Here is a 27,435-nt window from a genome sequence, read left to right as displayed (position 1 = left end):
TTTTATTACAAGTATAATGCAAAAATACCGAAGGGCTTATGCAGAGGAGCAATAAGATGATTTACATTTTTAAAGCGTTACAGACTGCTCTGTAAAAAAGAGACTGCAAGGCATTGAAGGGGACGAGGAAGCCCAGGTAAGTCAGGGCTGCAGCAGTTTGGCTATGAGATGATGCACAGGGTGACTGCCTCCAGCTTGGACAGTGGCAAAGGGGAGAAAAAGACATGCGCATGTGTGGCCTCTACTTTGAAGACAGGCTTCAAAGGACTTGCTGATGGACAGAGTGGCAGGAGGGAGGAAGAAGATAAATCAGAAATAACAACCAATGAACAGATAGTGGTGCCACTTACTGACATGAGGCTGAGCCTGGAGGAGGCGTAGGGCCTCTCTTGGGCATATCACATCTGATGTGCCCATGAGATGCCCACATGTGGAAGCCAAGCAGGCGCCAGGGTGTGATGCCTGGGCCCGAGCACACGGGAAGTCATGAGAGTCACAGGCTACAGGCCATCATCGCGCAGGAGAACACAGAGAGAAGGAAAGGCACAGGCAGGCTGGGCCGGGACCCTGCCAGTCTTTAGAAACCAGGGAGAGGAGTCAGCAAGGGATCCGAGCAGGAGCAGGTGAGGCAGGAAAACTTGAGCCCTGGCGCATAGCAGCTGCACGGAGAAGTCCTCCAAAGTGGAAGAGCAGTCGACAGTGCTGGGAGATCAAGTCAACCAAGACACAAAACGGACCCTGGATTTGGCACATGGAGCTCTTAAGTGACCTTCACAGGACGGGGTTCCGGGCATGAGGTGACAGCAGCCATGGCCTAAGGAAGTGAGGGCAGGGGGCTGCTGAGACAGGGGTAGCCACAAGGAAAGGGTGTGGGGGCCGAGGAAGATGCTTCTTAACCTGGTGATGGTGGAGTGTACTGGGTGCTGGTGGAGACGAATCAACAAGGAGGGAGAAGCTGATGGCTCTGGAGCGAGAGGGGACCACAGGAAGCCCCCCGAGAGGCGAGAATGGACAGGCCTGGTTCCAGGCAGAGGGTTCATCTGTGATGGAAACAGAAGCCTTTCACTGAGTCTCAGGGCCTGTCTATTTTTCACGTGTAAGGCAAAGTCAAGAGTTAGGAAGAGTGACAGCAGGAGCAGGGGAGGTGGCAGGAGCTCCCAGAGGAAAGAAGGGCCCCCAGCTGTGGGGGGTGGCAGGAGCTGCAGGACACACACAGAGGAGCAGAGGCAGCAAAGCCTCATGTGGAGGGGCACCAGGAACCCCCAGAAGGGTGGAGTAGCTCCTTCCAGTGTGGTTTCACTGCAAGGGTGGAGGCAGGAGGAGCTAGGCTCCTGGGACAAGCCAGGGTTGGGATCTTGCCAGGCAGGAACAGAGAGGGAGAGGAACACCCGGCAGTCATGGAAGCCTGTGAAACAGCAACTATAAGGACAGACTCAGGAGTCCAGAAGTGACAAGAGGAGAGGGGCATGGGCGGGCTGGGAGAGAGCACAAAACAGGCAGTGCCAGCAGGCAGGGGGTCTCAGGGAGGCCAGAGAACTGCTGTGAGCCCTCAGTGGGTGAGCTGAAGAGATGGGCGACAGTCAGCAAGTGCCAGGCTCAGAGCGGGGAGCTTCAGGGCTGAACAACAAGGTCCAGGAGGGAGACCATGGAAGCAGGAGGCTGAGGCTGGGGATAGACAAAATCAATGGAGAGGCAAGGAGCTAGAGGGCAGGTGAGAGATGCACCCATATCCTCTCTAACAGGTCCCCCGACAACACTGCTCATTTAGCCTGAGCCAGCAGTGAGGGAGACAGACAGGGACAAAAATAAATGATCGCAGGACTCTCGAGGAATGTGAGCAATACAGAGTGCCTAATAGACAACAAACACCATGCTAACTGCTGTACATATATCACCATTACTGAACACGAATGCTCCTCACGTCCCAGTAAACCCATCCTAAGTTGAAATTACCCTAAGTGGAAAATGCATTTAATCCACCTAACCTACCCTAAGCCGAGCCTGCCTTAAAAGTGCTGAGAACACCTACCTGAGCCCACAGTTGAGCAAATCCTCTAACACAAAGTTCATTTTATAACAAGGGGTTGAATATCTCATGTCATTTACTGAAGACAGTGCACTGCAGAATACAGTATCAGCTGTTCACCCTTGTGATTGCGGCTGACTAGAAGCTGTGGCTCAGGGCTGCCGCCGCCCAGAATCACAAGAGGGTGCAGCACCCTGTGTCGCTCGCTACCCAGGGCAAGGTCAAAAATCAAAATACGATTTTCACTGAATGCACGTGGCTTTCACACCATCACCAGGTCAAAAAATGGTAAGTCAAGCCACCGTAAGTCAGGGTCTGCCCATACAGGAATTACTAAATTTATCCTTGAAGCCCTCTGTGGAAGAAGTTCATTCCAAAGGCCATTTTACAAATGGGGAAACTGAGCAAGTCTATTGGACCTGTCTGGAGCCTCAATGTCACGTGAGTAAGTGATGAAGCCAGGCTCCACCCACTGTCCTGTCTTCTTCATCTGCTAACTTATTAACAATTCTGGTCAAGATCTGGTGACAGTTGCACAGGAAAGGTTCTGACCATCAAATAAAACCTAGGATTCCCGGAATACACAGAGTTAGTAAATGCCAAGATTTCACATTTTAAGATTGTTCAGATCCCAAATCCAGCCCATCATTGAAATGACTGCTAATGACCACTTTTCTCCTGAAGTAGGAGGAAATTTATATTTATCACCAACTTATGGCTAAGAATAAAGCATTAGACTCAATATATCAGCAGACATTTGAATTACATAATTTTGTGATACAATACCTGAAGTTTCACCAGGTTCTGTTGTAGGAAAAGTAATACTCTTGTTTCTTATTTCAACTTTTGTGGAAGGCGGTTTTGTCATTGGTTTGACCAAATGACTAACTGAAGGCTCAGATACTGGGGAAAGAATTCCAAATGGTTTGGAGGTCAAACGAGTTAAAAGTTCCACTTGAGTTAAATCTTCTCGAATTTGAACTTTCACAATTTTCTGAAATGAGCCAAATAAAGGGATAAGCTACAAACGTATCTATCACTTTAAACGAAACAATTCCATTTTTAAACCATGGTAGAGAAAAGAAATGCCAAACAAACAAAACATCAATAAATTTAGGAATTAAAGTTTATTTAGATCTCAAGGTAAATCTGTGACTCTATCTCCTCTCTCCCATTACCTTTGTTTTTAAAGCAAATTTCGAAAATCAGTAATCACTTCTAGGCTCCACTCTCCACACCCATTCCCCAAGAGAATTGTTCTGATCACTATGGAAAAATTCTATACCAATGCTCTAACTAGTTGGCCTCAGAATACAGATAATCATGCCTCGGTATCCATGGGGGAGATTAGTTCCAGGATCCCCTAAGGATGCTAAAATCCTCAATGCTCAAGTCCTGTATATAAAGTGACACAGTATTTGCACATATCTACATACATCCTCCCATACACTTTAGATCATCTCTAAGGTACTTATAATAGCTAATGCAGTGTAAATGCTATGCAAACATTTGTTATACTGTATTTATTTGTATTACTTTTTCCCCAAATAATTTCAATCTGTGGTTGGTTGAATCCCTGGAAGTGGAACCCACAAATATGAAGGGTCAAGTACGCTTTCATTTGATTTCTGAAATTAAGTGCTAATAAGGATTATAAAACTGAAGCTACAAACAGAATTGTCACTCAAAAAAAAAACCAAACCACTTTTAAAAGTACCTTCTGTCCATCGTCACAGTGTATATAGATCAAACCACTCCACGGGAACATTGACTGTTTTGTGGATAAGGAGGAATTAGGACTCACAAGAATTTGTAGTTTACTCCTTTAAAAAAAATTAATAAGAAAATTAAAAAGAGCCTGCATTTTAACAGCAGTAATCACAGGAGTTATAAATACTGTCTACCAGCCAATGGCCATTTCCTCACTGCTCAGGAAGAGCAGAGAACAGAGCTCACTCCCATGCGGCTCCCACATGGCTCCCACAAGTTCATCCCGCCTCCACCCGACTCAACGGGTTACAAGGAACTCACCAGCATGAACCCATGACGCAAGGGCAAAACTCATGCGAAAACAAACCATGCCGCCCTCTCCCTCTCCCTCTCCCCCTCCCCCTCCCCCTCCCTCTCCCCATGGTCTCCCTCTGATGCCGAGCCGAAGCTGGACTGTACTGCTGCCATCTCGGCTCACTGCAACCTCCCTGCCTGATTCTCCTGCCTCAGCCTGCCGAGTGCCTGCGATTGCAGGCGCGCGCTGCCACGCCTGACTGGTTTTCGTATTTTTTTGGTGGAGACGGGGTTTCGCTGTGTTGGCCAGGCTGGTCTCCAGCTCCTAAACACAAGTGATCTGCCAGCCTCAGCCTCCCGAGGTGCCGGGATTGTAGACGGAGTCTCGTTCACTCAGTGCTCAATGGTGCCCAGGCTGGAGTGCAGTGGCGTGATTTCGGCTCGCTACAACCTCCACCTCCCAGCCGCCTGCCTTGGCCTCTCAAAGTGCCGAGACTGCAGCCTCTGCCCGGCCGCCACCCCGTCTGGGAAGTGAGGAGCGTCTCTGCCTGGCCGCCCATCATCTGGGATGTGAGGGGCCCCTCTGCCTGGCTGCCCAGTCTGGAAAGTGAGGAGCGTCTCTGCCTGGCCGCCATTCCATCTAGGAAGGGAGGAGCGCCTCTTCCCGGCCGCCATCCCATCTAGGAAGTGAGGAGCATCTCTGCCCGGCCGCCCATCGTCTGAGATGTGGGGAGCGCCTCTGCCCCGCCGCCCAGTCTGGGATGTGAGGAGCGCCTCTGCCCGGCCGCGACCCCATCTGGGAGGTGAGGAGCGTCTCTGCCCAGCCGCCCCGTCTGAGAAGTGAGGAGACCCTCCGCCCGGCAGCCGCCCCGTCTGAGAAGTGAGGAGCCCCTCCGCCCGGCAGCCGCCCCGTCTGGGAAGTGAGGAGTGTCTCCGCCTGGCAGCCACCCTGTCCGGGAGGGAGGTGGGGGTCAGCCCCCGCCAGGCCAGCCGCCCCATCCAGGAGGGAGGTGGGGGGTCAGCCCCCGCCTGGCCAGCCGTCCCGTCCGGGAGGTGAGGGGTGCCTCTGCCCGGCCGCCCCTACTGGGAAGTGAGGAGCCCGTCTGCCTGGCCACCACCCCGTCTGGGAGGTGTACCCAACAGCTCATCGAGAACGGGCTATGATGACAATGGCGGTTTTGTGGAATAGAAAAGGGGGAAAGGTGGGGAAAAGATTGAGAAATCGGATGGTTGCTGTGTCTGTGTAGAAAGAAGTAGACATGGGAGACTTTTCATTTTGTTCTGTACTAAGAAAAATTCTTCTGCCTTGGGATCCTGTTGATCTATGACCTTACCCCCAACCCTGTGTTCTCTGAAACATGTGCTGTGTCCACTCAGGGTTGAATGGATTAAGGGTGGTGCAAGATGTGCTTTGCTAAACAGATGCTTGAAGGCAGCATGTTCGTTAAGAGTCATCGCCACTCCCTAATCTCAAGTACCCAGGGACACAAACACTGCGGAAGGCCTCAGGGTCCTCTGCCTAGGAAAACCAGAGACCTTTGTTCACTTGTTTATCTGCTGACCTTCCCTCCACTATTGTCCTATGACCCTGCCAAATCCCCCTCTGCGAGAAACACCCAAGAATGATCAATAAAAAAAAAAAAAATAATAGTTAAAAAAAAAAAAAAGAAAAGAAAACAAACCATGCCTTAGGAATACCATTTTAAAAGCAACTCACGGTAAAAACTTCTAGAGCAAAAGACCAAGACTACAAAAGCTCTGAGCCACGTGAGAATAAAGAAGAATGCAAGTACAGCACGGGGAGAATGAAGCAGTTGCAGAGGAAACTGGAAAAAAAAGGGTCGGGGAGATGGAGAAGAAATGAAGAAAAAAACGTGTTTCCGTATGACCCGGCTGCTTATATTTTCTGGGCTCAATATTCTCTTCAAGAACCAGGGGATGCCAGAGAAGAGTTTATAAGTGGACAATGGGATCAGATTTGATTTTAAAGAAATCACCAGACTGAAAAGCTGTTTCAGTACACATGTCAAAAATGAAAGGGCAAGATTGTCTTCCCCTGCTAAACCCATGGGGCTACAGAAAAAGCGGGCTGTGAGGAACCTGTTCTACCATTAGCTGAAAGGGTGTGTGGCACATGAGAAACACTTGCTGCATGCCAAACTGACTGCTCTGGTCCCAGCAACGCTCTCTGGAGTGTCCCTGACCATGCCTCAGCTAAAAGTCTCAGTCAAGTAAACTCTCCTAAAATTTTAGCATATCATTTTGCAAAAACTAAATAAACTTCATGTTGTCTTTCTGCAAAGTTGCTAATCCCAGATATAAAGGAACGTGCAGATGTGGGAGTCATGTGCTGGCCAGATGAAGTCCTGAAAAGCTGCAGAACTGTGGCTTTCCCACCTATCAACAACCAGGCTGTGGACAGAGGGCAGGCAGCTGTGTATAAATGGCCGGCCCCAAAAGACTTCCTTCTGTCCTAGAATATTCTACATAGAAAACAGTAAGCAAGGTTATGGCTCATACATACTAAAATTGAGGAAGCTTTGTCTGAAAAACATCATTCAGAAAAAGCCAGCAGAACACACAACCCAAACCAAGGTAAGAAATGGCAGAAGTGTTTGGGCTCGGGACACATCGCGACCCCTCATCCCATGTCCAGTTGCATTCCTTGCTTTGTGATTTCATGGGCAGTCCTAAGAAGGAAACGCTCTGAAGTCTTCCATACCAGGGACTCTGTTCCACCTCAAATGTGTGTGTCCCTTTACCCTCCTGGGTGACAGCATAACCAGCTGTGTGCAGATCTCTGCTCCACTAGACCGCCTACCACTTGAACTCACAGCTGACCTGCAGAACCATGCACATGCTTTGTGCAGAGTCAGCACGGTGCAAAATTCAACTGGATAAACTACAATGACATATTATTTGATCTTTAGAAAGTCACCAAGCCAGCACCTAAGTAACACGCAGAGCAACACAGAAGTCAGACTTACTCTGGCGCGACACATCCATGCTGCGGCGTGACTGTGAGGCAATGCGCTGGCCAGCACAGCTCAAATCTCAGTAACCTCACAGAGTTATTCACAATCTGGAAACGTCCAGTTTTTGCCATGTCACCTATTTTGTCAGATACATAAAATGTGACTTACATTTAACAACAGTGAAAAAGACAAATATTAACAACTAATAAACCAGAACCCTAAATAGATATACAAGTATGCTACTGCTTTCTCAACTGCTCAATTACAGAAATTTCCAATCCTTGGTAGTAAACAAAGAGGAAAAAGGAATCCTGGAAATCGTCACTGCTTGGTCTTAACTTAAGCACACACCCACGTAGCAGATTCACTCTACTCTGAACCAATGCTGTATCTCTGTGGGCAGAGGTGTGGCTCTGCCATTGGAGAACTGGGAGCCTCATTGAGGAGTGTGGCCCTGGGACAAGGACTCTGCTCTAGGCAAGTCTGAGTGGGGTCTCCAACAGTGGAAGCAGGGCCTGGGCAAGTCACAGCTCAATGTGCAGGAGCCCATGTGTGTCTTGGATAGGCCATGGGCACAATGGGAGTGCAGGCCCGGACGCCGGAACACACCTCTGAGGTGTCACAGTTGACATACTCACAAGGAGAAGGAGCTACCAGAATCAAGTGCTCGGGTAGGACAGTCCACGGCTCTTCGGAGGCCAGCTGATCCAGAGGCGGGCGAGCCGCCCGTGAGAGAAGAGGAGAACCCTGAGGACCTTTGACTGGTAAAACATCCAAAGAGACGTTGCCACCATGTTTCCCAGAAGCTCCCAAGTCGCTAAAAAATTATTTAAAAATGAAAAAGTTAGACATGAAGAAAGAGACTGAGAAGTTAAAAATGATAAAAGGCCAGATTGTATCACATATTTTTATATTCTTCATAAATCTAAAAACATTAAGACAAAGTTAAAAGTGAGTTATCAGGTATTTTTTAGTGAATAAAAGTTATTCATATTGTGTATAGTTTACAATGTGTACAGGCTGGGTGTGGTGGATCATGCCTATAATCCCAGCACTTTGGGAGGCCGAGGCGGGAGGATTGCTTAAGGCTAGGAGTTTGAGAACAGCCTGGGCAACATAGCAAGACACCACCTCTACAAAAAGAAAAAAGAAAAATTAGCTGGGAGTGGTGGCAGGTGTCTGTAGTCCCAGCTACCAGGAAGGCCGAGGCAGGAGAATTACTTGAGGCCAGGAGTCCAACCTGGGCTACACAATGAAACCCTGTCTTTTAAAAAAATACGTAAAGTATAGGGGTGACAGGGGTGGGTGGTGGCACTGGGACTTGCAGGGAACACTCAGCCAGTCTGCGTCAGCAGCACTGGGCTCAGGGAGACAGCCGTGCAATGGGAAGATTAGTTAAAAAATAGGGGGATTAAGTAAAAATGTAAATATATTGAAGATAATGGGGCTAGGGATCGAGTACTGGAGAAAAGGGTATAAATGTGGAAAGGCACTGTGGTGTTAGATTAGAATTGGAGGCTTCACAGTAAGCTCATTTAACATATTTATAAACAGAAGTAAATACAGAAGTGTGTGGATTTGTACATTAGTCCACGTTTCCTGGGTTTGTCCACAGGGAGGGCCTAGAAGCAAGGATACCTCAACAGCATGAGCACACCTAGTGCCTGCACCCTGGTTTCTAACACCATTCTCTACTCTCAGCTTCGGAGAGAAATGGTTATTCCAGGGTGGGGCAGGGAAAGTATACGATGAGCCTAAACATCCTGCTGTGCCAATGGGTAAGAAAGTGCGCAAAGAAGGACGGGGGACCTATCAAAAGGATCAGAAGCCAGAATGCAATGCAGGACCAAATAACGACAGTGAAGGATCAACACTGCACCCAGAGTCCACTCCAATATCAGTGAATAATTACATGAAAGGGCCAAAAGCAAACCTCTTCCTCATAGTAAAGAGCCAATTAATAAATGCAGAAAGATGGAATTAGAAATCACCCTTTGGTAACCATGATGAAAATAATTCAGGCAACAAGCATCAATGGATGCTCACAGTTTGATGAGGAACAAGATAATCATGATCTTTAAAGAACTCCCTCTTAAGATATTCATTAGTTTTACAGTGGAGAAATCTGGCAGGCACCATTTTTAACTAAGTGATGAAAATAGTATTAGTGATAGGACAAATCAGCACTGTACACTGCCTGAGAAGATGCACCAAGAAAACAAACAGCATCATTCCTACCAAAAGTGTGAAAATTGAATCTGCAAACTGAAATTGCGGGATATTTTACAAAGTAACTGGCCTGGACTCCATAAAAACATCAAGGTCATTGGTAAGAAAGAGTTAGCAATTGGCCTGCAATCTATTTTCTCCTTTTTACCAGGGAATGCTCAAGAAAAAAGAAAGGTGATTTGGTGAAATCTCCCGGTGATCTTGCTAATGACAGATCTCCTAGCACACACACTAATGTCCTTATCTATGGAATGCTTTTTGCAAGATGTATCTGCTCTGTCTAGAATTATTTGCGGTAAAGAAACCTGAAGCTTCCGATTTTATGGGATGCAGTTATTTGAAAAATTACCACATAAGTTATGTAATTACCAAAGTACAAAACAGAACTTTCATGCTCAATATAGCTCTTCATTTCGGGTAAGCCATGTAGCACATGAACAATTTAGAGACCTTGTGTCAAATCTGAACAAGAGCTCAAGTATTAATGCTGCCAAAAGGACCTAGGAAGCACCACTGCCAGTCCCAGACTTCTCCAGGCTTCACCTAAAATTACTAGTAAGCTTAATTCTGGATGAAGTCTTTGATTCTGTGGATCTGATACAATAATTGAACCTTCTGTATCATCTCAGTCAGGAAAGATAAGGAAAGGCTAAGGAACTCTATTCTGAAAGAGAGTAAGCAGATAGGATAACCAAATGCATCATGTGATGTTAGATTACACTCCGGACCAGAGAGGAAGCAGCAAAGAGGAAGGTTATTTTTGTTGTTGTTTTGTCATTTAACTATAACATAAAGGACATTATTGGAACAAACAATAACATGTGGATGGAACCTGTGGACTAAATGATTGTAGTGTATTGCTATTAAATGTCCTAATTTGGATGAGTTTTCCATGGCTATGCAGGAGAGTGTTTTTTTGTTTTGTTTTGTTTTTGAGACAGAGTCTTGCTATTGCCCAGGCTGGAATGCAATGTCCCCATCTTGGCTCACTGCAAGCTCTGCCTCCTGGGTTCACACCATTCTCCTACCTCAGCCTCCCCAGTAGCTGGGACTACAGGTGCCCACCACCACGCCTGGCTAACTTTTTTTTTTGTATTTTTAGTAGAGACGGGGTTTCACTGTGTTAGCCAGGATGATCTCGATCTCCTGACCTCGTGATCCGCCTGCCTTGGCCTCCCAAAGTGCTGGGATTACATGCAAGAGCCACCATACCTGGCCGTAGGAGAGTGTTTTTAGGAAATTTAGGGCTAATTGGTTATCATGCCTGAAACTTACTCTTACGTGGTCCAGAAAAACCTTCCATACAAATAGAGGATGATAAGGTAAAGGTGGTAAACTGTTAACAACGGTGAGTCTGAGTGCAGAGTATATGGGAGTTCTCTGCACTATTTCTAAACTTTCCTGAAAGTTTGAAATTATTTCAACTTAAATTTTAAAATAAAGGTGAAATAAAAATTTTGAGACAAAATAATAATAATAGTGAAGTACAGGAAAAAAGATCAGCTTTGCTATGAATCGAATCATCCTGAAATCTGGTGAAAGATTTCTGTTCATTTATTTTACCTTGTAGATTCCAAGCTAGCTTTGGAAGAAGGCTGAAGGAATTCTCTGCTAGAAATGCAATCTCTGAATTCTCCAATTACTGAAAGTATAATTTTACACATGCTTCCATAAAAGAGCTGAACATCATTAGGTCGTTGGGGAAGATCATATACTGAAATAGAAAATAATGTTTGAAATACATGAATGTTCACACAAGCATACCACAAAGTAACAGATACATTTGTATATTTATAGCTATAGAATATTAGTTTCCTGGGTTGGGGGAGGTGACATTTGGATTAGCAGTATACCACCTGGCACAAAATTACAGTCAATTCAGCACCAGTGGCTGACAGCTCAGACTTGGAACCTGAATTTGAACTACCTTTGCCACTCATTTACTTTGTGACTTTTGGCAAGTTACTTAACCTCCCTGAACTTAGTTTCCCCAACTATAATATAGAGTAACGATCTGTATCAGGGGTTGTGAGCATTAAAATAAGAATGCCTTTGTAGATATATTCGGCAACAAACATTTATATGAAGCTTAATGTGGACATTGTTCTAATCCCTTTATATATATTAATTTAGTTAATTTTCAAAACAATTCTTTGAGATAGGTACTATTACCTCTACTGCAAAGAGGAAAAATCTGAAGCACAGAAATTAAGGGTCCATGATTTTTAAGTGGCAGTCTCATAGACATTCAATTTAAAGTAAATCTAGAAACTAGAACTATTCATTTAATTAAATATTTATAGATTAATGAAAGAGTGTTCAAGATAAACATCTCTAGATTAGGACACCCAAATTTGTATAAACAAGAAATGTTAAATTAGATAGTCTTTGAGTCATATATTTTGACATGGAAATTTTAAAAGAACACAGTAACTATAAATTTAAATTTATAACTTAAGCAAGACTCCTGACTGAAAAAGTTTAAATCAACTACAAAAATACATGCCACAAATTACACATTTTGTAAAAGCAAGATTGTTACAAATCCTTGGAATAGTAACATGCTCAAGCAAATGTTACTGAAATTCATCACATAAAAGCTTCAACTGCATTATACTCCAGGTGATCTATGGTACCAACCAACATGAAAAAGTGAAACTGTTTCCTCCATTCCTCTGGGCAATAAACTTATAATCACAAGGAATATAGTATTCCTTGAGGTGAAATTCTGGTGTCCCAAAGACCTGGCCTGAGTCCTAGCTCAACCCCACCTTAGATGGGCAATCTTGACAGGCTACTTGAGCTCTTGGTTGGCTGTGTCAACACAACTCTTAATACAATATGTGTACTTAATTTTTGGACATGCAGCTGTACCTGGAGCATTCTTCCTCATTCTGGTCTCATCTTCACCTTGCCAACTCCTCCTCTTTCTTCAAGTATACCTCAAGAATCATCTCATTCTAAGTGAGGTGCCCTCCCAGATTTGTAAACACAGCTCTGTCTGTAACAGCACTTTTCACATCACACCTAAGTCATCTGTCTTCCCCTGAGTCTGTAAGCCCCTCATGGACAAGGACTGCATCCAGTACCTCTGCATCCAGTGTCCATAGACCTACTGGCATCTTGTCCTCTCAGGATGCATCCACCATCCAACGAGAGGACTGTTGCTATATGGTGGGGCAATGCCAGCTTCTGAACCACTGCAAACTCTGGTTCCCTACAATCTTCACCACAGTTGCACCATGTTACTAAGTGTTAGTGTTCCATCTCCATAGCACAGTTCAGCTTATCTCGTATTTGGATCCTTCCTATGAGGAAGAGGTGGGGCTGTAGTGGGACAGATGGGTCTTCAGTTTCAACTCCAAGTCCAAGGTTTTTTTCCTTTGCTCTGGTCCCTTAGCACACTCCTGACAAGTCCATTTGAAGTCTTTTTGTCATTTTTAACCAACTCATCCTTGCCTTCCCTTTGAGCAGATGATCTAGACCCCCACTTAATGAAAAGTTCACAGACTATTCAACATCACCCCTACACCAAGGCATAAATATCCTTTCATCACTTCATATTTCAGAAGCAAAATACATTCCATCACTAAAAAACTAGAAAATAAAAACAGGGAAAAGCTACCACGTGAAATTTACCACCAAAACTAGCCACTTATTATTTTGGTGTGTATATGCCTGTAATTTTACTTATGTAAATATATATGTAATAATTTTTAGCAAAATGAGATCTTACTATACAAACTTCAAAAAGGTTTTGTGATAAATGAAGAGCTTTCCATGTCATTCAGTACAGATTCATATTATTGTTCTAATGGCTTCAAATATTCTACCACATAATTAAATAACTCCCTATTCTTGGGCATTAAGGTTACTTCTAGCTTCTTGCTATTATAAACAACACTATGGTGAAAATCTGTATATACATTTTAACACAGTCTGTATGTCTCAATATATTTATATTTTGTATGAATAATAAATATTGTTAAATATTTGAAATGTTTAGTGTAAACAGGGCTAACCATCTAGGTTAGTGTCACCTTATTACTATCTATTTTGAAGTTTTTTTGCCACCACTACATCTTCCATAAATCTTACAATAGGCACGATAGCACAGTAACCTCAAAATGAGTGCAAGTTTGCAATCAAATCTAAGTAGCAATTAATTTGATTTAATAATGACCATTTTCCTCTTCCTGTTTACAAGGGTGCCTAGAGAATAAGTGCAGAAAGTAACATGTAACATTTATACAGCAGCAAAGCTCTTTCATCGAATACTTATAACAACTCTGTATGGATGAAAAGCTAGATGAGCTAGATGTCGCTCTTCTTTCCATTTACAAGATAAGGAAACTGACATTCAATGATGTAATTTGTTCAAACTCATACAGCAGGGCTGTGGCTCAAACTCTGCCTGACACTGCATCTAAACTAACACTTCCTTCTTATATCACATCATTGGACATAGATAATACTATAAATGACCCAAAAGATTTAATACATCAAGACACGCCGGAATTCTTACCTTCAGTTACTAATAGCTCATCTTGAAATGCTTCAACAAAATTAATGTTTTGAAGCACACTATGTTCTGGAAGTATCTGTTTTATCATCTCTGGTTTATGTAACAGGGCCCTGCCAGGAGAGATTTTTTTTTATTATTTAAAAGTGACGTTATATATAAAATAACTTTAATTAGATTTTCACTAATGCATTTGGCAAATCCCACTAATACTGATATATTAGTACACAGACCTTACACCTAAAAGAAAAACCTGTTTTGGAAGTTCTTTGAAAAATTACACATGGTAGTAAAATTATCAGTTTCAGTTAAATATTAACATCAAACAAGAATTCCCTAAAAGAAGAGTAAAATTAGATTCTTTTCAGGTCCTACATTTTCATTATTTGTGATAATTTGGTTACAGCTAGAAATTTGTCTCAGAACACAAAAGAACATGCTAAAAATGGAAACATTTGAAGGGGAATACCTAAATTACCATATAACTATGTTTATCTGGCTCCTTCCAGAGAATCTGAGGTGAGAAAACTGAAATGTAGATTTCTCTATAATACTCAGATGTCCACAAAAAAAATCTCACTACTGTTAATTTTATGGCAAAGAGTTTGAAAACAATACGCTGATTTCTATATCCCAATTGAGAGAAAAAAAAACATCAGAATACCTCATAATGTGATTTCTCCAAATGTCAGTTTCTATTTCCAAAATAATTAAGAAACAAAACCAGGTTCAAAGGCAAGCTTTGTATTTGGTCTGTTCTAACATCATGTAGCAAGTCGCCATTAAATTCCCTCTTGTAAAACATTCCAATGACCCTCAACAAATTAAAAACAAAACAATTTCCCAAATTCTGTATTAGAATAAAAAACAGTCAAGCACAAAGGGTCAGAAGGAAACAGGCGTATTCCTCCACACCCCCTTTCTAATTATTTTTTATTAGCAGATGACACACCATGAGCTGCACTCATCCTATGTTTAGGTCCTTTAATCTAGGAAGCTACACTTTACAATAAGAGAATTCATATCTTTAAATCACGCCTAAACTTAAATCAACATCCTAAATTTTCCAACAGTTCAGCATATCAAACTATGTTTAAATTATTTATGTATGTATGTATTTATTTATTTATGAGAGAGGTCTGGCTCTGTCACCAAGGCTGGAGTGCAATCATAGCTCACTGCAGCCTTGAACTCCTGGGATTGTGATCTTCCCACCTCAGCCTCCAAAGTAGTGAGGACTACAGGTGCACACCATCACACCCAACTAAATTTTCTATTTCTTTTCTAGAGACAAGGTCTCATTATGTTGCCCAGGCTGGTCTTGAACTCCTGGCCTCAAGCAATCCTCCCACCTCAGCCTCCCAAAGTGCTGGGCATGAGCCACACAGCCCGCCCTATATTTAAATTAGATATATCAGATTTTATAGTAGTTCATACTTTTTAAGTATCTACAAGTTAAACATCTTACACATTTCGAAAATTCAACTTGATCCTTTCAAATAATTCACAGCATTCCCAGAAATATTACTAACTAGTCATCTGTGTTTATACAATATAATCATTCAGTAGTTCTTAAATCTTTTATAAAACTGACACTGTCACTTAACATGTCATCAAGAGTACATTACGGAAATGGTCCTATTATGAAGTATGATGCACCTACTGAGTAAGGGAAGAGTGGCACAATACATTCACCTAGAAAAGAAGGCACATTCTAAGGAAATACAGGAGATGAATTTCCTACGGGTATTTCTTCCTCACATTGTGGTAGCTCATCATCCACATAAATTCTACCAAGATTTTTCATCTACCAGTTCACTAATAAATAGTGAAATACTCTAAAAATTCCAAATCCCAAGCCACAGAAGCCTTCATTATTTCTGCTGAATGGTTCCCAACATTGTGTAAGATAAGTAATCTACCTGCGATACTGCTGTCTTGAAATTTCATCTCCACCAAATAAGTATACAGTTGATAGTTCTGTTGCAGTTTTATTATTGATTCCTCTGTCTGATGGATTATATATTAAAGTAACATTCTGATGCCAAGAAAAAAAAATCAGGAGTAAATATTAAATATTTTTAAGTAATTTCAATCTGATTCAACAATCTTACGAGCCTAAAAATTCGACACAGACACAAGTGCATACGCATGGCATTTCCAAGATCACATAAGTACTTCTATTCCTACATTATTTTCAAGTATTATTTTAGCTTTTGGCTTTAAAATACATAATTATTAACAATTTTAAAATGAGTTGATGTTTTTAGCACAGAAACTTTTGTACTTACTTCTTGTGTTCTTTCCTTGAGTACAAATTTATCTGGAAAAATCCTCAATACTTTAGGATCCAGCAAAACTTTTTTCTGAGAATCCTTAAAACCTACTGCTTTAACAAAAGCTGCTCGGGAGCCAGTGTTGCGGACAGAAAAAACAATTTTACTTTCTTTGCCAGGTACTAAGCCATTCACTGTTACCATGTAACTGTCAGATAATTTTTTAACGCCTTCCAAAATAAGATTGCTTGTTCCTCCATATCCAGACAAAGGTATCTAAAAAAGATATACATATCCAAAATTATTTTAATGTTAAGCAGAAAGCGAAACACTGAATTACAGTGAGAAGAAAATTCAGAAAGATTTAATACAATTAAAAATTTAAATGTTTGTGTACTTTGGGTAGTAGTTCCCCATTTCCAGTCCAGCAGTATATTCAAGACTTTGTCTTAAGGAAAAAACAAACCAAAGAGCTGCAAAAGTATCTGGCTTCTGATAGGCTAAGAATTAACTATTTCAAAAGCCAAGCTTTGATGACACAGGAATAATATAAAGATTAGTACAGATATGCTTGATTAAGAAGTTTATAGAGTAAAATATTCACATATTTTTAATTTACTTTGAAATGCACTAAAAAGATGAACTGGTGGCTGGCAAGGTGGCCAAATAGGAACAGATCCTGTCTGCAGCTCCTAGCGAGATCAATACTGAAGGCGGGTGATTTCTGCATTTCCAACTGAGGTACCCAGCTCATCTCACTGGGACTGGTTAGAGAGTGGATGCAGCCCATGGAGGGTGAGCCGAAGCAGGGTGGGGCGTCGCCTTACCTGGGAAGTGCAAGGGGTTGGATGCCCTCTCTCACCACTCCTATTCAACACAGTATTGGAAGTTTTGGCCAAGGCAATCAGGCAAGACAAAGAAATAAAGCGTCTTCAAATAGGAAGAGAGGAAGTCAAATTGTCTCTCTTTGCAGGTGACATGATTGTATATTTAGAAAACCCCATCGTCTCAGTCCAAAATCTCCTTAATCTGATAAGCAACTGCAGCTGTCTCAGGACACAAAGTCAATGTGTGAAAATCACAAGCATTCCTATACACCAATAATAGACAAACAGGGCCAAATCATGAGTAAACTCCCATTCACAATTGCTACAAAGAGAATAAAGAACCTAGGAATACAACTTACAAGGGAAGTCAATGACCTCTTCAAGGAGAACTACAAACCACTGCTCAAAGAAGTAAGAGAAGACACAAAGAAATGGAAAAACATTCCATGGACTCAATATCGAGAAAATGGCCATACTGCCCAAAGTAATTTATAGATTCAATGCTGTTCCCATCAAGCTACCATTGACTTTCTTCACAGAATTAGAAAAAAAAAACTACTTTAAAGTTCATATGGAACCAAAAAAGAGCCCGTATAGCCAAGACAATCCTAGGCAAAATGAACAAAGCTGGAGGCATCACGCCACCTGACTTCAAACTATACTACAAGGTTACAGTAACCAAAACAGCATGGTCCTGATACCAAAACAGAAAGACAGACAAATGGAACAGAATAGAGGCCTCAAAAATAACACCACACATCTACAACCATCTGATCTTTGACAAACTTGACAAAACAAGAAATGGGGAAAGGATTCCCTATTTAATAAATGGTGTTAGGAAAACTGGCTAGCCATATGCAGAAAACTGAAACTGGAGCCCTTCCTTACAACTTATACAAAAATTAACTCAAGATGGATTAAAGACTTAAACGTAAGACATAAAACCATTAAAACTCTGGAAGAAAACCTAGGCAATACCATTCAGGACACAGACATGGGCAAAGACTTCATGACTAAACACCAAAAGCGATGGCAACAAAAGCCAAAATTCACAAATGGGATCTAATTAAACTAAAGAGCTTCTGCACAGCAAAAGAAACTATCAGAGTGAATAGGTAACCTATAGAATGGGAGAACATTTTTGCTATCTATCCATCTGACAGAGGGCTGAGGGCTGATATCCAGAATCTACAAAGAACTTGAACAAATTTACAAGAAAAAAAAATCCCATCAAAAAGTGGGCAAAGGATATGAACAGATACTTCTCAAAAGAAGACATTTATGCAGCCAACAAACGTGAAAAAAAGCTCATCATTACTGGTTATTAGAGAAATGCAAATCGACCAGGCACGGTGGCTCACACCTGTAATCCCAGCACTTTGGGAGGCAAAGGTGGGCAGATCACGAGATCAGGAGATCAAGACCATCCTGGCTAACATGGTGAAACCCCTTTTCTACTTAAAAAAAAAAAAAACCCAAAAAATTAGCTGGGTGTGGTGGCATGCGCTTGTAGTCTCAGCTACTTGGGAGGCTCAGAGGCAGGAGAATCGCTTGAACCCGGGAGGCGGAGGTTGCAGTGAGCCGAGATTGTACCACTGCACTCCAGCCTGGGCAACAGAGGAAGACTCTGTCTCAAAAAAAAAAAGGAAATCAAAACCACAATGAGATACCATCTCATGCGTGAGAATGGCGATCATTAGAGACTCCGTTTCAAGATGGCTGAATAAGAACAGCTCCGGTCTGCAGCTCCCAGCGTGATTGACACAGAAGATGGTGATTTCTGGATTTGCAACTGAGGTACCTGGTTCATCTCACTGGGACTGGTTGGACAGTGGGTGCAGCCCACGGAGGGTGAGCTGAAGCAGGGCGGGGCATTGCCTCACCCGGGAAGCACAAGGGGTCGGGGGATTTCCCTTTCCTAGCCAAGGGAAGCTGTGACAGACTGTACCTGGAAAATCGGGACAATCCCGCCCAAATACTGTGCTTTTCCAACACTCTTAGCAAACGGCACACCAGGAGATTTTATCCCGCGCTTGGCTTGGCAGGTCCCACGCCCACAGAGCCTTGCTCACTGCTAACACAGCAGTCTGAGATCCACCTGTAAGGCAGTAGCCTGACGGGGGGAGGGGCATCCACCATTGCTGAGGCTTGAGTAGGTAAACAAAGCAGCCAGGGAAGCTCGAACTGGGTGGAGCCCACCGTAGCTCTGCAATGCCTACAACCTCTATAGAGCCCACCTCTAGGGGCAGGGCATAGCTGAAAAAAAGGCAGCAGAAACTTCTCCAGACTTAAACGTCCCTGTCTGACAGCTCTGAAGAGAGCAGTGGTTCTCCCAGCATGACGTTTGAGCTCTGAGAACAGACAGACTGCCTCCTCAAGTGGGTCCCTGACCCCCGTGTAGCCTAGCTGGGAGACACCTCCCAGCAGGGGCCGAATGACACCTCATACAGGCTGGTGCCCCTCTGGGACGAAGCTGCCAGAGGAAGGATCAGGCAGCAATATTTGCCGTTCTGCAGCCTCCACTGATGATACCCAGGCAAACAGGATCTGGAGTGTACCTCCAGCAAACTCCAACAGACCTGTAGCTGAGGGACCTGACTCTTAGAAGGAAAACTAACAAACAGAAAGGAACACCATCAACATCAACAAAAAGGACATCCACACCAAAACCCCATCTGTAGGTCACCAGCATCAAAGACCAAAGGTAGATAAAACCACAAAGATGGGGAGAAACCAGAGCAGAAAAGCTGAAAATTCTAAAAACCAGAGCACCTCTTCTCCTCCAAAAGATCGCAGCTCCTCACCAGCAACAGAACAAAGCTGCATGGACAATGACTTTGATGAGCTGACAGCAGTAGGCTTCAGAAGGTCGGTAATAACAAACTTCTCCGAGCTAAAGGAGAATGTTCGAACCCATCGCAAGGAAGCTAAAAACTTTGAAAAAAGATTAGACGAATGGCTAACTAGAATAAACATCACAGAGAAGACCACAAATGACCTGATGGAGCTGAAAAACATGGCACAAGAACTACGTGATGCATGCACAAGCTTCAATAGCCAACTCGATCAAGTGGGCGAAAGGATATCAGTGATTGAAGATCAAATGAATGAAATAAAGTGAGAAGAGAAGTTTAGGACAAAAAGTAAAAAGAAACAAAGCCTCCAAGAAATATGGGACTATGTGAAAACATCAAATCTACATCTGATTGGTGTACCTGAAAGTGACAGGAAGAATGGAACCAAGTTGGAAAACACACTGCAGGATATTATCCAGGAGAACTTCCCCACCTAGCAAGGCAGGCCAACATTCAAATTCAGGAAATACAGAGAACACCACAAAGATACTCCTCGAGAAGAGCAACCCCAAGGCACATAATTGTCAGATTCACCAAGGTTGGAATGAAGGAAAAAATGTTAAGGGCAGCCAGAGACAAAGGTCGGGTTACCCACAAAGGGAAGCACATCAGACTAACAGCTGATCTCTCAGCAGAAACTCTACAAGCCAGAACAGAGTGGGGGCCAATATTCAACATATTAAAGGAAAGAATTTTCAACCCAGAATTTCATATCCAGCCAAACGAAGCTTCATAAGTGAAGGAGAAATAAAATCCTTTACAGACAAGCAAACGCTGAGAGATTTTGTCACCACCAGGCCTGCCTTACAAGAGCTCCTGAAGGAAGCACTAAACATGGAAAGGAACAACTGGTACTAGCCACTGCAAAAACATGCCAAATTGTAAAGACCATCGAGGCTAGGAAGAAACTACATCAACTACCAGGCAAAATAACCAGCTAACATCATAATGACAGGATCAAATTCACACATAACAATATTAACCTTAAATGTAAATGGACTAAATGCCCCAATTAAAAGACACAGACTGGCAAATTGGATAAAGAGTCAAGAACCATCAGTGTGCTCTATTCAGGAGACCCATCTCACGTGCAGAGACACACATAGGCTCAAAATAAAGGGATGAAGGAAGATCTACCAAGCAAAAGGAAAGCAAAAAAAAAAAAAAAAAAAAAAAAAGCAGGGGTTGCAATCCTAGTCTCTGATAAAACAGACTTTAAACGAACAAAGATCAAAAGAGACCAAGAAAGCCATCATATAATCATAAGAGATCAATTCAACGAGAAGAGCTAACTATCCTAAATATATATGCACCTAATACAGGAGCACCCAGATTCGTAAAGCAAGTCCTCAGAGACCTACAAAGAGACTTAGACTCCCAGACAATAATAATTGGAGACTTTAACACCCCACTGTCAATATTAGACACATCAACAAGGCAGAAGGTTAACAAGGATATCCAGGACTTGAACTCAGCTCTGCACCAAGAGGACCTAATAGACATCTACAGAACTCTCCACCCCAAATCAACAGAATATACATTCTTCTCAGCACCACATCACACTTATTCCAAAACTGACCACATAGTTGGAAGTAAAACACTCCTCAGCAAATGTAAAAGAACAGAAATCACAACAAACTGTCTCTCACACCACAGTGCAATCAAGTTAGAACTCGGGATTAAGAAACTCACTCAAAACCGCACAACTACATGGAAACTGAACAACCTGCTCCTGAATGACTACTGGGTAAATAACAAAATGAAGGCAGAAATAAAGATGTTCTTTGAAACCAATGAGAACAAAGACACAACGTACCAGAATCTCTGGGACACATTTAAATCAGTGTGTAGAGGGAAATTTATACCACTAAATGCCCACCCTAACATCACAATTAAAAGAACTAGAGGAGCAAGAGCAAACACATTCAAAAGCTAGCAGAAGGCAAGAAATACTGAAGATCAGAGCAGAACTGAAGGAGATAGAGACACAAAAAAACCTTCAAAAAAATCAATGAATCCAGGAGCTGGTTTTTTGAAAAGATCAACAAAATTGATAGACTGCTAGCAAGACTAACAAAGAAGAAAAGGGAGAAGAATCAAATAGATGCAATAAACAATGGTAAAGGGGATATCACCACCGATCCCACAGAAATACAAACTACCATCAGAGAATAATATAAACACCTCTACACAAATAAACTAGAAAATCTAGAAGAAATGGTAAATTCCTGGACACATACATCCTCCCAAGACTAAACCAGGAAGAAGTTGAATCTCTAAATAGACCAATAACAGGCTCTAAAATTAAGGCAATAATAGCCTACCAACCAAAAAAATTCCAGGACCAGACGGATTCACAGCTGAATTCTACCAGAGGTACAAAGAGGAGCTGGTACCATTTCTTCTGAAACTATTCCAATCAATAGAAAAAAAGAGAATCCTCCCTAACTCATTTTTTATGAGGCCAGCATCATCCTGATACCAAAGCCTGGCAAAGACACAACAAAAAAAGAGAATTTTAATCCAATATCTCTGATGAACATCGATGGGAAAATCTTCAATAAAATACTGGCAAACCAAATCCAGCAGCACATCAAAAAGCTTATCCACCATGATCAAGTTGGCTTCATCCCTGGAATGCAAGGCTGGTTCAACATATGCAAATCAATAAATGTAATCCATCACATAAACAGAACCAACGACAAAAATCACATAATTATATCAATAGATGCAGAAAAGGCCTTTGACAAAATTCAACAGCCCTTCATGCTAAAAACTCTCAATAAACTAGGTATTGATGGAATATATCTCAAAATAATAAGAGCTATTTATGACAAACCCACAGCCAATATCATAGTGAATGGGCAAAAACTGGAAGCATTCCCTTTGAAAACTGGCACAAGACAGGGATGCCCTCTCTCACCATTTCTATTCAACATAGTGGTGGAAGTTCTGGCCAGGGCAATCAGGCAAGAGAAAGAAATAAAGGGTATTCAATTAGGAAAAGAGGAAGTCAAATTGTCCCTGTTTGCAGATGACATGATTGTATATCTAGAAAACCCCATCGTCTCAGCCCAAAATCTCCTTAAGCTGATAAGCAACTTCAGCAAAGTCTCAGGATACAAAATCAGTGTGCAAAAATCACAAGCATTCCTATACACCAATAACAGACAAACAGAGAGCCAAATCATGAGTGAACTCCCATTCACAATTGCTACAAAGAGAATGAAATATCTAGGAATCCAACTTACAAGGGATGTGAAGGAACTCTTCAAGGAGAACTACAAACCACTGCTCAACGAAATAAAAGAGGACACAAACAAATGGAAGAACATTCCATGCTCATGGATAGGAAGAATCAATATCGTGAAAATGGCCACACTGCCCAAGGTAATTTAGAGATTCAATGCCATCCCCATCAAGCTACCAGTGACTTTCTTCACAGAATTGGAAAAAACTACTTTAAAGTTCATATGGAACCAAAAAAAGAGACTGCACTGCCAAGACAATCCTAAGCCAAAAGAACAAAGCTGGAGGCATCATGCTACCTGACTTCAAACTATACTACAAGCCTACAGTAACCAAAACAGCATGGTACTGGTACCAAAACAGATATACAGACCAGTGGAACAGAACAGAGGCCTCAGAAATAACACCACACATCTACAACCATCTGATCTCTGACAAACCTGACAAAAAAAGAAATGGGGAAAGGATTCCCTATTTAATAAATGGTGCTGGGAAAACTGGCTAGCCATATGTAGAAAGCTGAAACTGGATCCCTTCCTTAAACCTGATTCAAAAATTAATTCAAGATGGATTAAATACTTAAATGTTAGACTTAAAACCATAAAAACCCTAGAAGAAAACCTAGGCAATACCATTTAGGACATAGGTATGGGCAAGGACTTCATGACTGAAACACCAAAAGCAATGGCAACAAAAGCCAAAATAGACAAATGGGATCTAATTAAACTAAAGAGCTTCTGCACAGCGAAAGAAGTTACCATCAGAGTGAACAGGCAACCTACAGAATGGGAGAAAATTTTTTAATCTACCCATCTGTCAAAGGGCTAATATCCAGAATCTACAAAGAACTTGAACAAATTTACAAGAAAAAAACAAACAACCCCATCAAAAAGTGGGCAAAGGATATGAACAGACACTTCTCAAAAGAAGACATTTATGCAGCCAACAGACACATGAAAAAAATGCTCATCATCACTGGTCATCAGAGAAATGCAAATCAAAACCACAATGAGATATCATCTCACACCAGTCAGAATGGTGATCATTAAAAAGTCAGGAAACAACAGGTGCTGGAGAGGATGTGGAGAAATAGGAAAACTTTTACACTGTTGGTGGGAGTGTAAACTAGTTCAATCATTGTGGAAGAGAGTGTGGCAATTCCTCAAGGATCTAGAATTAGAAATACATTTGACGCAGCAATCCCATTACTGGGTATATACCCAAAGGATTATAATTCATGCTACTATAAAGACACATGCACACATATGTTTATTGCGGCACTATTCACAATAGCAAAGACTTGGAACCAACCCAAATGTCCGTCAGTGATAGACTGGATTAAGAAAATGTGGCATATATACACCATGGAATACTATGCAGCCATAATAAAGGATGAGTTCACGTCCTTTGCAGGAAGATGGATGAAGCTGGAAACCATCATTCTCAGCAAACTATCACAAGGTCAGAAAACCAAACACCGCATGTTCTCACTCATAGGTGGGAATTGAACAATGAGAACACTTGGACACTGGGTGGGAAACATCACACACATGGGGGCCTGTTGTGGGATGGGGGGCAGGGGAAGGGATAGCATTAGGAGATATACCTAACGTAAATGACGAGTTAATGGGTGCAGTAAACCAACAAGGCACATGTATACATATGTAACAAACCTGCACGTTGTGAACATGTACCCTAGAACTTAAAGTATAACAACAACAACAACAACAACAAAAGAATGGCGATCATTAAAAAGTCAGGAAACAACAGATGCTGGAGAGGATATGGAGAAATAGGAACGCTTTTACACTGTTGGTGGGAGTGTAAATTAGTTCAACCATTGTGGAAGACAGTGTGGCGATTCCTCAAGGATCTGGAACTAGAAATATCATTTGACCCAGCAATCCCATTACTTGGTATATACCCAAAGGATTATAAATCATGCTGCTATAAAGACACATGCACACATATGTTTATTGCAGCACTGTTCACAATAGCAAAGACTTGGAACCAATCCAAATGCCCATCAATGATAGACTGGATAAAGAAAATGTGGCACATATACACCATAGAATACTATACAGCCATAAAAAAGGATAAGTTCATGTCCTTTGCAGGGACATGGATGAAGCTAGAAACCATTCTCAGCAAACTAACACAGGAACAGAAAACCAGACACCACATGTTCTCACTCATAAATGGGAGTTGAACAACAAGAACACATGGACACAGGGAAGGGAACATAACACACTGGGGCCTGTCAGGGGGTGAGGGACTAGGGGAGGAATAGCATTAGGAGAAATACCTAATGTAGATGACGGGTAGATGTGTGCAGCAAACCACCATGGCACGTGTATACCTGTGTAACAAACCTGTACATTCTGCACACGTATCCCAGAACTTAAAAGTATAATAAAAATTAATTAATTAATTTTAAAAAGATGAGCTGATGGATGGATATGTGGGAGAAGAAATATAGCAAAATGTTAACTATAGAATCTAAGTGATAGTGTATGTGACTGTTTACTGTATAATCCTTTCAACTTCTCAGTAATTCTGAACCTTTTCATAATAAAATGTTTTTGGGGAAAACTGTATTTATAATCCTCTTAGTGTGCAGTCTAGCCAGTGTCAGAGAAAAGCATGCAAAAGGGACTAAGCTAAAGATAAGAACTCAAACAACTTTTCAAGGACAGACACATTGTCAACGGAGGAAGCAGCACACTAGAGTCAGGCTTGGGGATCCATCTGCTGCTGCTTCCACAGGGCTCAACCCTTGCAGGAAGCAAGCCTTCACAGAATACATCCCATAAATTCGAATGTAAGGAAAATATTCACCCTGCTGGAAACTTTCCATACTCTTTGAAATGCACACCTTTAAAAATTATCTTTCATTCCTAATTACATGTTGAGTATCCCTTATTCAAAGTGCTTGGGACCAGAGGTGTTCTAGATTTGGGAATATCTGCATTATACTGGCTGAACATCCCTAATTCAAAAATCCAAAATCCAAAATGCTCCAAAGAGCATTTCCTTTGAGCATCATGTTGGCACTCAAAAAGTTTCTGATTCTGGAGCATTGTGGAGTTTGAATTTTCAGATTAGGGATACTCAATCTGTACTAAAATAGGTTGCAAATACTTCCTTGCAAACTTGAAACCATCATAACTTATTCCGAGTTGTTATGTACTTAACTAAAATAACATTTTGAAAAAGTAGTTTCAGGCACCTCATCAGTTTGTACTATCTTGACTTTTAGTACAAGTAAACAGCATTTCAGGCTTGGCACAGTGGCTCACGCCCGTAATCTCAGCACTTTTGGAGGCCAAGGCAGGCGGATTACTTGAGGTCAGGAGTTTGAGACAAGCTTGGCCAACTGGCACAACCCCATCTCTACTAAAAATACAAAAATTAGCCGGGTGTGGTGACGGGTGCCTGTAATCCCAGCTACTCGAGACGCTGAGGCAGGAGAATCGCTTGAACCTGGGAGGTGGAAGTTGCAGTGAGCCGAGATCACGCCACTGCACTCCAGGCTGGGCGACAGAGTGAGATGATGTCTCAAAATAAATAAATAAATAAACAGCATTTAAAAGGGTTTCAGATTGGAAGCTCCTACAAATCCTCCCTCACTCAAAGTGACCTCTGGTAGTTTCAACAGCAAAAATGTTTCTAATTTTTCTTTTTCCATAGAAACGTACGAGTAAATTTTATCAACGAAACTAAATAGCAAAAAACAAGGGAAAAGGTACCTTTGAAAACACTCATTATAAGTATTCTGCCTATATTTTCAAAGCCTAAGAAATCACAAATTACTACAGAGTAACAAGGTTAAGAAAAAAGAATGATTGGCCGGGTGCGTGGCTCACGCCTGTAATCCCAGCACTTTGGGAGGCTGAGGCTGGTGGATCACGAGGTCAAGAGATCAAGACCATCCTGACCAACAATCCCATCTCTACTAAAAACACAAAAATCAGCTGGGTGTGGTGGCACGCGCCTGTAGTCCCAGCTACTCGGGAGGCTGAGGCAAGAGAACTGCTTGAACCTGGGGGGCAGAGGTTGCAGTGAGCCGAGATGCCACTGCACTCCCGCCTGGCGATGGAGCAAGACTCCATCTCAAAAAAAAGAAAAGAAAAAAGAATGATTAAATGAAACAAATCTAACACCGTAAATCCACAGATTAAACAGGAAAAACTATTGCTCCTAACCTCAGTGCTACTGAAATGTTGAGCTGTATGATTCTTTGTGGTGGGAACTGTCTTGGGCTTTCTCGGATGTTCAGCAGCCTCCCTGGCTTCTACCCAGTTGGTGCCAGTAGCACTCTTGTCCTGCCCCCAGTTATGACAAACGAAAAGTAACTCCAGACTCTGCCAATGTCCCCTGGGGGTAACACAAGCTCTGGTTGAGAACCACTGCTCCAGATGACAATACACAGAGCTGTTATTAGCACCCTAGAGACTGCACAATACATAAAC

The 27,435-nt window shown here is 42.2% G+C and overlaps 1 protein-coding gene across 26 annotated transcripts in view; it reads right to left on the bottom strand.

The window, feature by feature from the left end:
- Positions 1 to 27,435, bottom strand: part of CEP192 (centrosomal protein 192) — a 133,675-nt gene that overhangs the window by 21,712 nt on the left and 84,528 nt on the right. For 25 of the 26 annotated variants that reach the window (XM_006722326.4, XM_005258107.4, XM_047437562.1 and 22 more), the window contains 8 exons: positions 16,048 to 16,308; positions 15,679 to 15,794; positions 13,760 to 13,869; positions 10,798 to 10,948; positions 7,644 to 7,822; positions 7,018 to 7,141; positions 3,744 to 3,849; positions 2,813 to 3,020 (listed from right to left, as the gene is read on the bottom strand). In XM_006722326.4, the coding sequence (XP_006722389.1) occupies positions 2,813 to 3,020; positions 3,744 to 3,849; positions 7,018 to 7,141; positions 7,644 to 7,822; positions 10,798 to 10,948; positions 13,760 to 13,869; positions 15,679 to 15,794; positions 16,048 to 16,308 (1,255 nt within the window). Of the gene's footprint in view, positions 1 to 2,812; positions 3,021 to 3,743; positions 3,850 to 7,017; positions 7,142 to 7,643; positions 7,823 to 10,797; positions 10,949 to 13,759; positions 13,870 to 14,110; positions 14,572 to 15,678; positions 15,795 to 16,047; positions 16,309 to 27,435 lie in introns of those variants that run through there. The other variant, XM_047437576.1, reaches the window with a different exon arrangement.

The sequence above is a fragment of the Homo sapiens genome, chromosome 18 (genome assembly GCF_000001405.40).
Source record: "Homo sapiens chromosome 18, GRCh38.p14 Primary Assembly".
Taxonomy (NCBI): domain Eukaryota; kingdom Metazoa; phylum Chordata; class Mammalia; order Primates; family Hominidae; genus Homo; species Homo sapiens.
The sequence above is the reverse complement of the archived record's forward strand: the minus strand, read 5'-3'. Positions and strand labels throughout refer to the sequence as shown.